The 17,166-nt window shown below is 48.3% G+C and overlaps 1 protein-coding gene across 1 annotated transcript in view, besides 1 other annotated feature; it reads right to left on the reverse strand.

Annotated features, from left to right (window-relative positions):
* Positions 1 to 17,166, reverse strand: part of LRFN2 (leucine rich repeat and fibronectin type III domain containing 2) — a 195,774-nt gene that overhangs the window by 166,136 nt on the left and 12,472 nt on the right. The gene's annotated exons all lie outside the window — the stretch shown is intronic.
* Positions 5,464 to 5,758: a silencer, noted in NCBI's record as "tiled region #9042; K562 Repressive non-DNase unmatched - State 22:ReprW". NCBI's record gives its function as "represses a minimal TATA promoter and a strong SV40 promoter by Sharpr-MPRA in K562 cells {active_cell/tissue: K562}" and the evidence as "EXISTENCE:reporter gene assay evidence [ECO:0000049][PMID:27701403]".

The following is a 17,166-nucleotide window of genomic DNA, read 5'->3' on the forward strand; positions in this document are numbered from 1 at the left end:
CACTCTTCCATGTGACTTAGCCTTTCTGTGTCTCCTCTGTTAAATGGGGATGATAACAGCACCTATGTCATAAGATCCTTGCAAAGTTTAAGTGGGTTAATATTTATAAAGTATATAGAACAATGTTTGTCACACAGCAACTTCTATGGGAGTGATTATTTTTATTGTTGATAATGATGATGTTATTTCATTGCACGGAAGGCTTTTATAACAAAATCCCCAATGGTTTTGCTGTTACCTGGTTTCTAAGTTTTGGGCAAGGATTCGCTTGTCCACTTGCCTGAAAGAAGAAATATATTCCAGCAGTGGGGGTCCCTGATGTGGTGCTCTGTGGGCCTCCTGACTCCACGCACGTGAAGGAGTGGAGAAGAGGAGGAGCCTTCTGACTGATGGGTGGAGTCTGGCTCTTCTGGGAATGAGTAAGCTGAGGCCCCCAAGGAAGCTGTTCTGATTCCCCAGAGAGATCCTCCAGCACAAGCCTACTTGTTCGACTGATTAACACCTCCTCTCCCTGTGGATCTAGGCAGGAGCAGCCAGCAGCCTGTGTCCCCTGGCTCCTGAGGAGACATTGCATGGACTCTTTTCCTGCCTGCAGCTTTGTGCCCAGTGAAGGAACAGCCAGCACTTCCTTCCCCGCATTGTGGAAGGTCTAGGCCACTGCACTCTGTTAAGAACCTGTCCCTCCATTTTGAGTCCCCAGCGTTAGAAAGATGGATCTGCCTCTGGCTGAGGCATTTGAGGGTTTGGCCACCTTGCTCTGGGATTCAAACAGTCAGTGAGCTGAGGGTGAAAGGTACATGGATCCCAGGAAGGTAAAGAAGAGCAGAGAGAAGGCTGGAGGAGATGTCCTCAGTTAGGTGGAGAAGAGAGTTCCTGACCTTGTGGAGTTTGGGGCCCAGTGGGGGAAGGCGAGGGCTAGACTGACGTTAGAAACATGAAATTACTGTCTTTATCATTATTGTTAGCACCTGTTCCTAATACTACTAAGCTCCTACTCTGCTTTTGCAAGCACTTTACTGACATTGTCATTTAATCCCACAAAACCTCTGTGAGGTTAACGTTATTAGTGCCTCCATTCTGCAAATAAGTTAACTGAGGCACAAAGAGGTTATGTAACCTACCCAAGATCACACAACAATCAGAGGCATCTCAATCCAAAGCCGGGCTTGCCCGTGACACTGTGCAGAGGATGCATGCTTGAGAGTAGCACGCACACTCACGGATGTGTGAGCACTAAGCTGAAGGACAGAGGAAGGCTAGCTGGGAAGGCAACCCCAGGTGTCCCAAAGAAGTGATTTGTAAAGACAATAAGGGCCATGGATCAAACGGAGGGGGCATGGGGAAGAGCATATGTTGGGGTGTCAGGATGGTAAGAGATGAAGCCTCTGATGATATTGGGGGGAGGATGGATGGCCGCTGGGTGGGGGTGAGAGAGGCTACTCTGTGTCAAGTGCAGAGAGGGAGACAGTGGGCCTGATGGGGAGGGGTCAGCCTATAAATGCTCCTCCTGGGAAGAGCCCGGCAGTGAGCCTTCCTGATGACGCTGTAAATCAGGGCCCCTAAGTAAAGCCATTACCACACTGAGATACTCAGTCTATTGCCGGATGCCACTGTTTGAGACATTACTTTGAATTTAGTTTATGACTCCTGCTGCTATAAATTCTGCCTAGAGTGGATCTAAGGAGGTGGATGGGTCACCCCCACACCCTGGGAATCCCCAGTTCAGCTGGGGTGGTCCCAGGCCTGAGTGTGGAGAGGCTAAGCTGGCCAGGAGAGTCTATGGGAGCCTGGCCTGGGGCCCACTATGGGGGTAGGGGCAGCGGAGGGAGGGAAGAGGGACCGAGGGGGCTACCTGGCCCTTCTAGCTAATACCTTGCTAATATCAGGCCTTTTGACACTGAGAAATTGTCCAGCCTCTGAGACTGGCTAGGACCAGAGTCCCTAAAGGGGCTAGGACAGGATGTAATTCAAGCCTGCCCCTTCCCTGGGCATGTCCTACCCTAGCTGCCTACTCCACCCCTGCCCAAGCACCCTCCCAAAACTGAAGGGCATTTCATCCGCCCCCTCTGACTCCCCATCCTGGACGGGCTCCCCAGTCTTATTCACAAATCTTCATTTCTCCTTCTCTGCCGTTCTTCCAAGTCCCACTCATGTGGGAGCAGCTGGTAAATAGGGCTGGCCTCTCTCCCTCTTCCGTTCCCAGGCACAGTCCTGACTTGGCCCTCCCCATGCCAAGGCGAGTTCTAACCATCTGCCCACACCTGCCTCACCCCCAGGCCTCCAGCTCCTGGAAACTGCATCTCCTTCCTCTCTGCATTGTCTCGGTTAGCCCTGGGTGGAGCACTTTGAGGAAGCTCAGTAAACATTTGTTTTGAGAACTATTCATTTCTATGGCCTTAATGTCTCACACAATGTGGAAAACACAGAAGGTGCTAAATAAGTGTTTGTGAACTGAAGGGAATCTAGTCCAGGAGGCGCTCTGACTGAGCCCACAAGCCACCAACGCCTGCACCCATCAGGGACAGCGCTCTAACCAGCAGCACCGGCCACCATACCACCCACCTTTTCAGGGATCATGTGTTCAAGGTCTATAGGCTCTTCCCATGACCAGGCACCAGGATGCCATCATGTGTGAGACACCATGCCTGACTGGGGAAGCCCAGTTGAGGCCAAAGACCCAACATATTCAGAAATGATGGACCGCACCATCATGGGGCAGAGGTGGCAGGCAAGGGTGTGCCTGACTCCTCCATTCAGGAGGCTCTGTAGTAGTTGCTGGCCTGCTGCTGTTTGAAATGCTGTCTGGATCAGCCAGACAGAAGATACTCCAGGAGGCAAAGCTTCTCTTACTAACTCACATCAAATCAGATCTGCCAATCACTCAGATTGGTGTTTATCAAACCGCAGTTCATGATCCATCGGTTGGTCATGGAATCAATGCTGTAGTCATGACCAGCATGCTCAGTAGAGCAGGATAGAATAGGACAGAGCAGAATAGAATAGATAACAGGGCACTGTGCTTGGTAAGGACATCATGTCATAGTATATCTGTTTCCATTATACAAGTGTTGGTTATTTGTATGTTTCAAATGTATTTAGTAAGTTGTCATGTAAAATATATGTCTTACAGTGGGTTTAAGCCAAAAGAGATTGAAAGTCCTAACAGATTATCTAGATCATCTCCAAACCTACCACACTCTAATTGCTTTGGGCCTCTGTCTTCCCTGTCTGTAATTTGATTCAGCAAATATGTGGAGTGTCCATCTGTGCTAAGAGATGTTCTGAGAAGTTTGTTGACTCAGTGCAGAAGTATCCTTCACCTAGTATTATAAGCAGGGTGTGTTCAGAAGAGAGGTACCTTCAATGGGACCTCAGAGACATTGCAGTTTCTAGGGCCATGAGGTGGCACTAGGAACTCAGGCCCAAGGGAAAGGGCAACTGAGAGAGGAGCCCCAAGATTCTCGATGTTCTGTGTAATCCTCAGGGACTGGTCCCCTACCTTCAGGGGAACAGAAAAGAAAAGACAGAGCTGTGTGGGGTGCAGGAGAGCTGGCCTGGGCCCAGGCCCTCACATGGAAGGTCAGGGCTAAAAGAGACCCCAAGGACCTTTTGCAGTGACCCTTATTTAGTAGATGGAGAAACTGAAGTCTCCACAGAGAAAGGCAATGGCCGGTTGGGGACTGATCTGGGAATAGAATCCATGTCTCCTAGAACTTCCCCATGAGCACTGTTTCTATGGCTGCCGGGACCTGCCAGAGGGGCTGGCCTACTGGGCAAACAAGCAGGCCACACTGACACAGTGCCCTTCCCTCCACAGGGGCTGGCTGCTGTGGATCTTGTCAGTACATGGGGTACTAGGGAGCAAAGAGATTCACTGGTTACTCTCTTCTTGGGCTTCCACAGAAGGTGCCTGAGCTCTAGAGTTTGATAGAAACTTACTCAGCATGGAAAAGCTGACATAAAAGCAAGGGAGGCACAGCCTTTTTAGATACTAGAAAAACAGGAGCCCCGCTTAATCCACACCTATCCCTGGTGGGAGAGTCAGGAAGGAAGGGAGAATTCTCATGACAACAAGCTCCAGAGGGCTGGAGAGGCGGGTAGAATACAGCAGGCCTGGGAGGCCCACCCCAGGCTCAGGCTTCCTTGCTCAGGCCTCAGGGAACCCTAGGCATCTCCCCCTCCACCATGATGACCAGGAGTCAAGGAGTCCCTAAGCAGAAAACCATCAGTCTTATTCAGCCCCACGGCCCCAGTGTCTGGCTCATAGCAGGTATTCTAGAAGTATGTGCCGAATGAATGACTGAATGAATGGAGTTGAGATTAGAGAGCATAGAATCTGTTCTCTGGAAAATGACAGTCCAACTTGGGCGTATGGAAAGTGATAGAGAAGGATCATTTAAAAATCAACACATGATAAGAGGCAGATGAGGGGTACAGATCATGAATGAGATGGAGTTGTGGGCAAGGCTGAGCTATAGCAATCACAGAAGGCTTCCTGTGGATGGTGGTTAGGGTCAGGTAGAGATTGGGCAGACGGAAGGAGGAACCATGACTACGCAATGAACTACTGGGCTTGGGGAAGTACACGCTGCCTAAGGACCACAGAGGAGGGGCACCTGTCTAATGCAGACCTAAGGGCCCTAGAAGGCTTCCTGGGGTTGGATGAGTAGGAATATAGAAACTGGTCAGGTGAACAAGTACGGTACAGGGGGAGGGCAGGGCAGTGAAGAGCAAAGGGAGGGGGAGAGAAGGGAGAGAGAAGAGATGACGTTTCCAATTTCACATCCCCAAGAGAAAATGGGGTCCACCCAAAAACTGGGCCATTTTGCCAGGATCCTGCAGTTCCATCCAGAAGCAAGAGCTCATGGGAGTTTCCCTCTGCTGCTCTGAAAACTTAAAGGACCCTTAGCCGCCAGAGAAGCAGCAGGGATGGGGCCTCCCTGTCCTGCCAACACACACACATATTAATCAGCTAGAGAAAGCTCTAAAAAGAAACCTAGCCTATTTCTGTCTGTGCATGGAGATGAAGACATTCCTAGAAATTGACTCCTAAGCCTCCATGGTACATGCAAAGGCACATGTGAGCGTGCTTATGTGCGTGCACTCACTCACACACACACACACACACACACACACACACACACTCTATTATCCCCAAGGGGCCAGATTTGGGACTTGCCTGTAGCTGTGGCTCTCAAGAGGCTGCAGGTGAATCTGAGGTAGGGGCTGGCCATGGCGGTGTGGGGGTCAGTTTGTGTGTGTCTGTGCATGGGAGTGTTATAAGCATGTCTCCCTGAGAGCTATGTTCAAGATTTCCTTAAGTGCTGACTGCCCATTAGCTGGTTTTCAGCCTTACCCATGTCTTCCTGAGAGTTGACTTGAAGCTGACAGGTGGCTTGAGGGACTGCATGTGTAGAGACCCCTCCGTGCACACACATGATACCCACAGATAACCCAGGTGCAAATGGGCTCCTCTCTCCGCTCTGCTCTGGAAATATCTGCCTCTCTGCATCCGCTCAGTTGCTCCGTGTCTGTGACTTATAATTCTCTCTCTCCTGCCTAGACTCACAAGCACAGCAGCAGGGACAGCTGCCGGGCCAATGAGCTCCTTCTGCCTCCTCCTCTGGGGGGCCCTCCAGGGTCCTGAGGCTTGCTGAATATTCACTTTCTCATCAAAGGGAGGAAAGGCACAGGGAGCAGCAGCTGCCAGGGGCTCCCTGTCAATCCACAGTCATTTATCACAGTGCAAAGACCATTAGGGAGCAGTTGTTTTTAGGGGGTTCCATCTGGATGAACATCACCTGTTGCTATTTTTAAAACACTGTTTTTAGTGACTAAGCTGGGATTCAGCTGAGGCGAAGGTAGATATGGAAGCAGCTGAGTCCCCAGACATTCTGCCTTCCCCCTCAACACTGAGGGCCTGCCATGAGTCCTGGGGGCTATGTCACAAACAGCCTCATTTCCTGGGCTGCCAAGAAACAAGAATAGAAATCAAGGTAGAAACAATAAGATGATAAGACAGATGTGGAAGTAGCTTCAGCCTCCCCACAATTTCCAGCCCTGTCATCAAGGTCTTCAATAACTTCCCTGTCCTTGTTAGCACTACGATTACCATGGATACCACCCCTTCTCTCATTTCACCACCTGATTACTCCACAGACAGACCTTGTGTGCCCACAAGGTGCTGGATTCAGAGTACAAGTAATTTATTTTCTTAAATGATCACCACTGCACTTACCAACCGTGGTCCAGGCACTGGGCTAAGTGCTTTCTAACATTATCTCATTTAATAATAACCCTGTAAGGTCAGCATTCTTTTTATCTCCATTTTAGAGTTGAATATGTTGAGGCTCAGGAATGTTACCTAATTTTCCCCAAGTCATACAATCAGTAAAGGAAGAACCTAGGGTTCCAATGTGGGTTCAGCTGAGTCTTAGGTCTGGCCCCTATATTAGCCATCTGTGAGCCAACTCCAAGAGTGTTTCATGTCCAGTGGTGGACACAAACATGGGGACCACAGCTTACAATATATACCTTTTGTCATGTTCATGACCAAGAGTTAACAGTAACAGTCATCCAACCAACACTGATTGAGGACCTAGCATGTGCTAGGTGCTGCTTTTCTGCTTCAGCACCTGGCGATACATATAGACAAAATTAAGTTCCTGCTGTCATAGAGTTTACAATCGAACCATCTACCCAGCTGCCCAAGGCAGACACCCAAAGTTCATCTTTGAGATCTCCTTCACATTCACAGCTCCCCCAGTGGGATCAAGGTGTCATCTAATCACCAAGTCCTGTTGATTTTACCACCTAAGAAGGTCCAGCACCTGCACACTTCTATCCATCCCCACCACTATAATCTAAATTACCATGATCTCTCTCCTGAACTACTCCACTGCTCTCTTAATACACCCACTCTCACCATCCTCCAATCAGTTTTCCACAATGTAATTAGAGTGATCTTTTCAAAATGTAAATCTGGGTTCCTTTCCCTTAAATTATAATCCTTCAGTGCCTCTCCATTGCTCATAGTAAAAATGCTTCTTAACAGCCCATGATGCCCTACCTACCTCCCCAGCATTGCCCACACCATGACCACAATACCCATCTCCACCATCAGTGTGATCATATCCTCCAACCCCAAAATCCCCCCAGCCTCCTCCACCACCATCACAGGAGTCTGCATAAAGCAGCCCCTCCACCTGTGTAATGGAGTCAGACTGCTCTGTACCAAAGCTCTGACCATTTGAGACAAAGACTCAGAAACACACCATCAGGACGCCTGTCAGTTCAACTGAAAGCCTCAACAAGACTGATCTGGAGTTTCTAGACTTTCCCAAACTCTAAGAAAAATTGGAGGGCAGGATGTATAAGAGCCAGGACCATCTAGCAGAGGACGTAGATCCCAAATCATTATAGAAATCGCTAACATTAATCCAACTTACAAGGGATGTGAAGGACCTCTTCAAGGAGAACTACAAACCACTGCTCAATGAAATAAAAGAGGATACAAACAAATGGAAGAACATTCCATGCTCATGGGTAGGAAGAATCAATATCGTGAAAATGGCCATACTGCCCAAGGTAATTTATAGATTCAATGCCATCCCCATCAAGCTACCAATGACTTTCTTCACCGAATTGGAAAAAACTACTTTAAAGTTCATATGGAACCAAAAAAGAGCCTGCATTGCCAAGTCAATCCTAAGCCAAAAGAACAAAGCTGGAGGCATCACACTACCTGACTTCAAACTATACTACAAGGCTACAGTAACCAAAACAGCATGGTATTGGTACCAAAACAGAGATATAGACCAATGGAACAGAGCAGAGCCCTCAGAAATATTGCCACCTATCTACAACCATCTGATCTTTGACAAACCTGACAAAAACAAGAAATGGGGAAAGGATTCCCTATTTAATAAATGGTGCTGGGAAAACTGGCTAGCCATATGTAGAAAGCTGAAACTGGATCCCTTCCTTACACCTTATACAAAAATTAATTCAACATGGATTAAAGACTTACATGTTAGACCTAAAACCATAAAAACCCTAGAAGAAAACCTAGGCAATACCATTCAGGACATAGGCATGGGCAAGGACTTCATGTCTAAAACACCAAAAGCAATGGCAACAAAAGACAAAATTGACAAATGGGATCTAATTAAACTAAAGAGCTTCTGCACAGCAAAAGAAACCACCATCAGAGTGAACAGGCAACCTACAGAATGGGAGAAAATTTTTGCAACCTACTTATCTGACAAAGGGCTAATATCCAGAATCTACAATGAACTCAAAAAATTTACAAGAAAAAAACAAACAGCCCCATCAAAAAGTGGATGAAGGATATGAACAGACACTTCTCAAAAGAAGACATTTATGCAGCCAAAAAACACATGAAAAAATGCTCATCATCACTGGCCATCAGAGAAATGCAAATCAAAACCACAACGAGATACCATCTCACACCAGTTAGAATGGCGACCATTAAAAAGTCAGGAAACAAAGTTGCTGGAGAGGATGTGAAGAAATAGGAACAGTTTTACACTGTTGGTGGGACTGTAAACTAGCTCAACCATTGTGGAAGTCCGTGTGGCGATTCCTCAGGGATCTGGAACTAGAAATACCATTAGACCCAGCCATCCCATTACTGGGTATATACCCAAAGGATTATAAATCATGCTGCTTTAAAGACACATGCACACGTATGTTTATTGCCGCGCTATTCACAATAGCAAAGACTTGGAACCAACCCAAATGTCCAACAATGATAGACTGGATTAAGAAAATGTGGCACATATACACCATGGAATACTATGCAGCCATAAAAAATGATGAGTTCATGTCCTTTGTAGGGACATGGATGAAGCTGGAAACCATCATTCTCAGCAAACTATCACATGGACAAAAAACCAAACACCGCATGTTCTCACTCATAGGTGGGAATTGAACAATGAGAACACATGGACACAGGAAGGGGAACATCACACACTGGGGACTGTTGTGGGGTGGGGGGAGAGGGGAGGAATAGCATTAGGAGATATACCTAATGCTAAATGACGAGTTAATGGGTGCAGCATACCAACATGGCACATGTATACATATGTAACAAACCTGCACATTGTGCACATGTACCCTAAAACTTAAAGTATAATAATAATAATAATAAAAGAAATCCCTAACATTTATATTCAAGCCAAAACTTGGTATGATGATCTTCAAGAGCAAGCTTAAAGAGAACCACTTAAAGTATGTTGACAGTAGGAAGGGGAAGGCCCATTTCCTTAGAGTCTTTACAATATTATGTCTGTAGCCCCTACATCCCCCAATTTTAAAGATGAGGAAACAGTTTTAAAGAGAGGAGAAGACACTTGATCAAGGTCATACTGCAAGTCCCTGGGATTGACAGGATCCAAGGTCAGCCTGAGACTCCCTCCCTTACTTAGCCTACCTAGCTTCCTGGAGAAAAGGGTTGGAACCACTCAGGAAAGGAACAGTCTCCTGCTACCAAGGTCCTCTTCCCTGGATTCCAATGAGGAAAGAAAAAGGCACTTTTTCTCTGGGTTTCTAGTTTTCCTCCAAAGCTGGGAGAAAAATCAAAATGGCGGACACAGCCTGCTTCCAGCCAATAGGACAAAATTATGAGGTGGGAGGCCCTTCTGACTGATGCTGCCTTGGCTAAAAGAAAGAGCAAAAATAAATCTCCCTCAACCCCAGTCCCTAAAGAGCATAAGGGAAGCAACCTGTCCACTTCATTCCTTAAAACACGTGATTACAAAGCTGTCTTGATCCTTGACTTCCTCTCTGTGTCCCCATCTTCCTCCTCTCCACTTCTGAATCTCAGCTCCAGAGAAGATATGGGACACCAGGCAACAGAGCCAGAGAAGCCAACAGAGGTGGAACCCATGAGAGGGAAAGAATAGCAATTAGAACTTACATTGAGCATTGACTATGGACATGTTTGTATACAAGCACTTTGCTGTTGATCTTCACTGTTTTAGAGGACTAGGCACTCCGTTACCCATTGAATTCCACAGCAGCCTACCTTGAGGAGTTCTGACAGGGTCAAGGGGCAGACCTGGCCTGGCTAAAGCGGAGGTGCTGGTGAGGCGGCACCAGCAGGCATCTTACAGAGACTATACCCCACAGATGAACTCCTAAGGCTCTGCTGGAAAACCCACAACTGCCATCACATTCTTCAATGCCCCTAAACAGCCTGCTCAAGAACTGGAATGCCCAAACTAATAGCTCTACCAGCTGCCAGATGATCAATTTACCCCCAAAACGTACAAACAAAATTCACTCTTCCCAGACGGTCTACAGTTTCCCCCTTCCTTCTCTTCTCTCTCTCTCTCTCTTATAAACTGGGTTTTACCTGTGTGAATTGACAGCAATCTACTGACTGTCTTCCTCCTAAGAGAAATATGTACAGATAACTAAGCCTCAGTCAAGGTTTGACAGCAGCCTGGGCTGGCCTAGGCCTCTCTGGGAAAATAACCCCAGGCCTGCCCTCCCACAATGCAGTTAAGATACATGTGGACTGTGGTGTCTGCCCTGTGTCGTGTGAAACCCCTGATCTGTGGGCCTGGGGAACTGTGAGTTGGCATGCAGGCCTGGGATCTATGTGTCTAAGATGGTATATTGGAAATTGAGACAGCAGCTTCTCTGCATCAAGGAGACTCTTAGACGGTTCTCAGGTTTTATCAACAGCAGCCAAAATGGCCCACATGGGTGAGGGGCAAAAAAAAGTTATGTATGTGGGTGGCTTACAGGCATCCCCACAAGACGAAGATAAAGATCCTACGTGTGCTCTGTTTCCTGTCCTGTTCCAAATGCCTCGCTAATGCTAAGAAACACAGTGCTAAATTAAAGCCTACTGTATCCTCTGAGTCAGATGGCCAATTCAAACCTGTGATTATTCCCAGTGTCACTGGGTTACTAAACGTCTCCCCCATTTCCTTCCTTCCTTCCTTCCTTCCTTCCTTCCTTCCTTCCTTCCTTCCTTTTTTGAGACGGAGTTTCGCTCTTGTTGCCTAGGCTGGAGTGCAATGGTGCGATCTCGGCTCACTGTAACCTCCGCCTCCTGGGTTCAAGTGATTCTCCTACCTCAGCCTCCCGAGTAGCTGGGATTACAGGCATGTGCCACCATGCCCGGCTAATTTTGTATCTCCCCCATTTTCACCTCTATTCTAACGGATAAAGAAACTAAGACACGCAGAGATCAGATGACTTGCCCAAGACCACACAGAACCAGACGGGAGCACCCACTTACACTGCCTCCAAGCGAGGATAAATGGTGTGGTACAATGGGAAGGACATGGGTCACTCTGTCAAGAGCCCTGCCTTCCAAAGGCAGCTCTGGGACCCACAGCTTCATGTGGGAAGAAAATTGAACAATTAGGGAGAGATAGCTTGGTAGCCAGGGAGCTGGGAGGCAGGAAGCATGAGTCCCCACCTATAATCCAGGCAACAGAAGATTGAGACTATATTTAAGCCTCCACTGGGGGAGAAGCCCTGGAGGATGGGAGCCTATTGTTTCAAGGGAGGACTGGCCTGGAACCAAGGGAGAGTTGGTACATTCGAGGCATTTAGACCTCAGGGCTTTCAGGGGGTAGGGCAGGGATCATAAATGAGGAAGTGGGCCTGGGAGGGATTTCCAGGTTGAAACAAGAACCCCAGAGGCCAACAGGGTGTGGACTAGAGAATCTTCACTGAGACTCAGAAGTCTGGCTTAGAAACCAGAAGGAAAAGCCTTTCCATGGTCAGGACCATATGGGGTTTATATCAGCCCAGAGTGACACCCGTTTGGCATAGTGGTTGGGGGCAGGAGCGGCCAGGTGTAATGCCGCACTGCCCAGATTTCACTGTTCAGACATGCCAAGGAGGATTAAGTAATTAAACTGGGGACCAGCAAGTCATCTGCCTGGTTCAAGCCTGGCTCCGCACTGCTCTCACTGTGGCAGAAGATTTTCTGCATTCTGATCTCCATGCCTTCAATTTCACTCGCAGTAATCCATCCTCCACACAGCTACCTAGGCCAAGTTCCTTAAAGGCAAATTGGACCATGTCATTCTCAGCTTAAAAGCTTTCCAGGGCCTCTATCAACTTCCCCACCAAGACTAAGCTCCTCTGCATAGCATGCAGGGCCGTCTCAGGTCCGGCCCTGACTTCCTGTGCTGCCATTCAACTCCCTTGCCCCTGCCTCACCCTCTGCGTTCCCTCCAGCATGGCACTGCCAGCTGCACCATGTTCTTGGGCTGTGAATGTCTCCCTTCCCCATCTCTGTGGTTCTCAACCCTAGAATCAGAATCCTAGGGAAGCTTTAAAACATCAATGGCCTGGCAACTGTCTTGTGGGTAGGGCTCAGGCATCAGTGTTTGTTATAGCCCCCCAGGTGATTCCAACATGCAACCAGGGCTAAGAGTCACCATTCTCTCTCTAACCAACCCTCAACTACTTCCTTGAAGATTCAGCCCAGGTGTCTCAGCCAATCATCAAATATTTATTGAGCTGGGCACTATTCTAAGCAGTGGATATAAAAATAATAATGATAGCTAATATTTATTGAGCACTTGCCATGTGCCAGACACTGTTCTAAGTGCTTTACATATATTAACTCATTTAGCCCAAACCACACCTCTGTGGGGGCAGGTATTATTATTTCTTCCATTTTACACATGAAGAAACTGGGACACAGAGAGATAAAGCAACTTCCCCAGAGTCACACAGCACTGAGTTGTGCAGCCAGATTTCTGCACAGGCAGTCTAAGCACCAGTCTGCACTTTTAACCCTGGGCCGCCCTGTCCCTTCCCCATTCCTGCCCCACATTGTTCACAGGCTGCAAGAGAGAAGCAATAAACCAACAAGCAGATACAGAGTGTGGAAAGGAACACATGGGGCCGGGGGAAGCTGCTCTTAGTGAGAGCAGCAAGGGGCCAAACTTTAGAGTGGGAGTGGTCAGGCCATCCCTAAAAGCAATATTTAAGCTGACATCTGAAGGACGAGTAGTGTCCAGCCATGCAGACTGTAGAGAAATGGTGTTCTAGGCAGAATGCAAAGGCCCAGAGGTGGAAAAGAACATGATCTTTTCTAGTAAATGTTCATGGTTCCCTCAGGGTGCTAGACATGGGGAGAAGGCACAAAGGAGGTAAAGAAATGGACAGGGCCAGTGCCTGGCAGGCCAGCTAAAGGGTTAGGATTTTACTCTAAATGCACTGAAACATCTTCAGCAAGGTGTGCGCATTGTCTATGGGAGAATGGCCTAGAGGAACTTAATGGGGCCATTCAAGAGGGTGCTGCAGCCATTTAGCAAGAGGCCCCGGAAGCAGAGCTGGAGAGGAATCACCTCTTGCTGGAAGCACTGCAGGCTCCTGCCTCCAGTCACAGGACCATCATGGTGCATTATAATTGTTTGTTTACCTCTCTGCCTCCCCACCAGACTGGGAGACCCTTGAAGGCAGAAACTAAGTCTAATTAGCTAGCCTCTGTCACCTAGCAGCTGACCAATACTAGGTGCTCAGTAAACATCTGTTAACTGCAAGTGAGTTGAATGGAATCATGCAAGGCTGGTTAGGTTGGCAACACATTGAAGAATTTCTTCTTTCTCCTTCATTGATCTGGGGACTTCACAGACCTTGGCCAGAATAAGAGGATGCTGCACCACTCCAGCCCTCAGTAGAGCCCCTCCTCTGACACCCACCATGGGAAAGCAGTGTTGGACTGCAGACAACTTGCAGCAGCCAAGGTCCATCATTTCCCTAACCCCCAGCAAACCCCATAAGGCAGGGCAATGGGGAGGGAGGGAGCTGAAACCCAGAGTCCTCCCAAAGTAGCGGAACCTCGAGATTCCAGGTGGCGCTGGGTGTTTTAAATAGCCCAGGTTTTAGCAGGCAATTTGGGCACCCAATGTGGGTCTGCACTTCTGACAGTGAGGGCAGGGCCAGGTCCGATGTTGGAGCCTCTGTGGCCCTCCTTTCTGCTGCCGTCACCACCAGCAGGTGGATCCCCAAATCATGTGATGCCCCACCTCCATCCAAATCAGAGACAGGAAAGGGGGAAGAGCCTTTGAGGGCCCCACAACAAGTTGGTGGCGGAGCTGGTGTGGCCATGCAAGTGTCCAGACTCCCAGCCTGGTGCTGTCTCCATGGCACTTCTCAATCGACCTGCCCAGCCCCTCGCCTGCCCTCACTGCTCCTTGAGTTATGTCTCTCTGGAGGTTCTGAAGCTGCCCAGAGCACAGGGTCTCCAAAACAGGGGGGGCTCCGAAACAGGTTTCCTGGGAAGAAGCAAAGAACCAGGCCCTTCAGGACAGCAGCTACCCCTCCTCCCGTTCTGCTCCCACGCTTTGCTAACAGCGTGATGGTTGAGGGTGTAGGGCCAAATCCCTGCATGCCACTTATCACATGTGTGGGCCTGAGCAAGTTACTTAAACCCTCTATATCACAGTTTCCTCACTAGGACGTAGAGATGATAGTTAAAATAACAGTACCTGTGCCTTAGGTTGTCATGGGCAATAAATTAGATAATAAGTACAAAGGGCTTAAAACAGTGCCCAGCATGTAGTAAGTGCTTACTTAGTATGAACATCAGAGAGAACTTTCTAGATCAGCATCAAGGGACCCGGGCCATTATCCAGTTCATTAGCCCCCTGTGTGCCTCAGTTTTCCTATCTGTTAAATGGGGGAGTGATGTAGCCATATGAGTGGCTTAAAGACAACCATGAAATGCTAATTACTATGGGAAGTGTTTGGAAGTTAAAGAGAAAAAGTACCTTACAAGTGGGAGGCTTGATGGGCATATGACCCCGCAGCAGAGGAAGGGGCCAATAAAGCACCACCAGCCCAGCAGGCTGCCTGGGTTTTATGGGGCTTGGGGCCCAGGCCACTTTCCTGAACATCATTTAGAATTTATAGACTCTTGTCCCTGTCCTTTCTGTTTATTTAGTTGCCTTAGAAGCCAGCCTGGCATTAATAGCATCTTTGCTGCCCAAGCAGGAGAATGCAGCCTTTTCTATGTTTAATCCCCAGCTAGTGGAAGGAGTGAGAGCTGGAAGTCCACAGAGAACCCTGGGGCTGCTGGTGGGCTCCTATAGTCAGCAGATGGGCTGTTAGCAGGTGGGCATGTTCATTCTGCAACAAGGTGCCTCCTCTACCTGCTGGGGGAAGGATCGGATAATGACAACTACATCAAATAGAATATTGGAGCCAAAGGACTGCACGAGCCCATGTCCTGCCAAACCTGCTGCCTGCATAGCCGCCCCAGTGATGACTGAGACCTCATAAACTTCATATGAATTTGAACAGAACTGAAAAGGACTGGAGGCATCCTGCCCATTTATCAAACACGAAAACAAGAGTGAGAAGCATCAGCTGAGAACTCCTGATGAAATCTAATCCTGCCTTCATCACTTACAAGCTGTGTGACCTTAGCTTAGGAATTTGGCCTCTCTGAGCCTCAGTTTTCTGTCCTATAGAACAGGTTTAAAAGTACCTGCCCTGACTATTCCAGAGGCCATTGGGATGAAAAATGAGACCAGGTACAGTTGGGGGGAATTTGGAAAGGATAGGAGGCAAGCTGCAGCAGAGTGGTCAGGAGTGTGGGGCACTGGGGCCAGATGGCCTGGGTGCCAGTCGCAACCCGGCCACTTCTTAGCTAGGTGACCCAGGGTGCATTACTCGACCTCTGTGTTTCAGTTCCCTCTTTGCTGTAATTTGCCTAAGTGACAGCGTTTTGTGAGAATGAAATGGGACAGCATCTCTGAGCCTGCCGGAGCTCCATAAATGTGGGCAGCTAAGAGAGGCTCCATCCCCAAGAGTGTCTAGAATGGCTTAGGGCATGGCAGTGGATATCAGAAACAACTGGATTCAAATCCTGGCTCATCCATGCATTTGCTCTGTGACCTGGGTAGGGTGCCCAACTCATCCTAGTTGGCCTGGGACTTTCCTAACTTCAAAACTGAAAGTCCTGGCTGGGCACAGTGGCTCACGCCTGTAATCCCAGCACTTTGGGAGGCCGAGGCAGGTGAATCACCCGAGGTCATGAGTTCGAGACCAGCCTGGCCAACATGGTGAAACCCCATCTCTACTAAAAATACAAAAATTAGCCAGGCATGGTGATGCTACTCGGGGAGCTAAAGGAGGAGAATCACTTGAACCTGGGAGGCAGAGGTTGCAGTGAGCTGAAATCACGCCATTGCACTGCAGCCTGGGCAACAAGAACGAAACTTGTGTCAAAAACAAAACAAACAAACAAACAAACCACAACTGAAAGTACTGCATCCCAGGAATCCCCTTAGTCTCAGGCGAATTCGGACAGGTGGTCACCCTAGACTTGGAGCAAATCTCATTGATATTTTGAGCTTCAGTTTTCACATGTGCAGGGAGGTAATACCTACTTTGCAAAAGTAGTTGGGAGACAAAATGAGAGAATGCATATAAATATGGTATAGACAAACACTTTAATAACATATGCCATGTGCCAGGTGCTGTAGCATTTTGTAGCTATTTACCATTTTATACTCATGACAACCCTAGGGATTAAGTATTGGTGCTAGCTCCATTTTACAGAAGGGGAAAGTGAGGCTCAAAGAGCTAAGTGACTTGCATGAGGGTACACAGCTCCTAAGTGGAACTGCTGAGATTTGAACCCAGCTGTCTGACTCCCAGGCCTGACTCACTGTGCTAGAATTCCTCTCACATATCAACTGCTCATCAAGTAGCAGCTGTTAATAAGAAAAGCAACAGAAACATCAGCCTCGGAGTTATGCTCCCAGTTTGTGTCCATCACGGGGTGGGGGGTGGCGGGGAGTGCTGGATGATTCTGAGCCCACAGGAAAAAGTATAAGCTTCACTTTACCTTTATACTTCACACTTTCCATAAATGTGTGGCCTGTTCCATAAATCTCAGGCTATGTAAATTTGGTGCATAATTGGGAGGCACTGCAGGTACCTGCGGCTCCAGAATAAAATCCAGGCAGCTCCGGAGAGAGAGCAGGGCCCCATTAGCAAGGACAGAGTGAGAAGTGGGCAGAGAGCAAGCTTCACTTCACAGCAGGGCCACGGAAGTGAAGATGTGCAGGGCTGCACTCTGCCAAGGATGGCTCCTTGGAGTCATGGGACTCACAACATCCTCAGGCTCAGGACCCTTTTCCCCCACCTACCCCA

Source organism: Homo sapiens, chromosome 6 (assembly GCF_000001405.40).
Source record: "Homo sapiens chromosome 6, GRCh38.p14 Primary Assembly".
Lineage (NCBI taxonomy): Eukaryota > Metazoa > Chordata > Mammalia > Primates > Hominidae > Homo > Homo sapiens.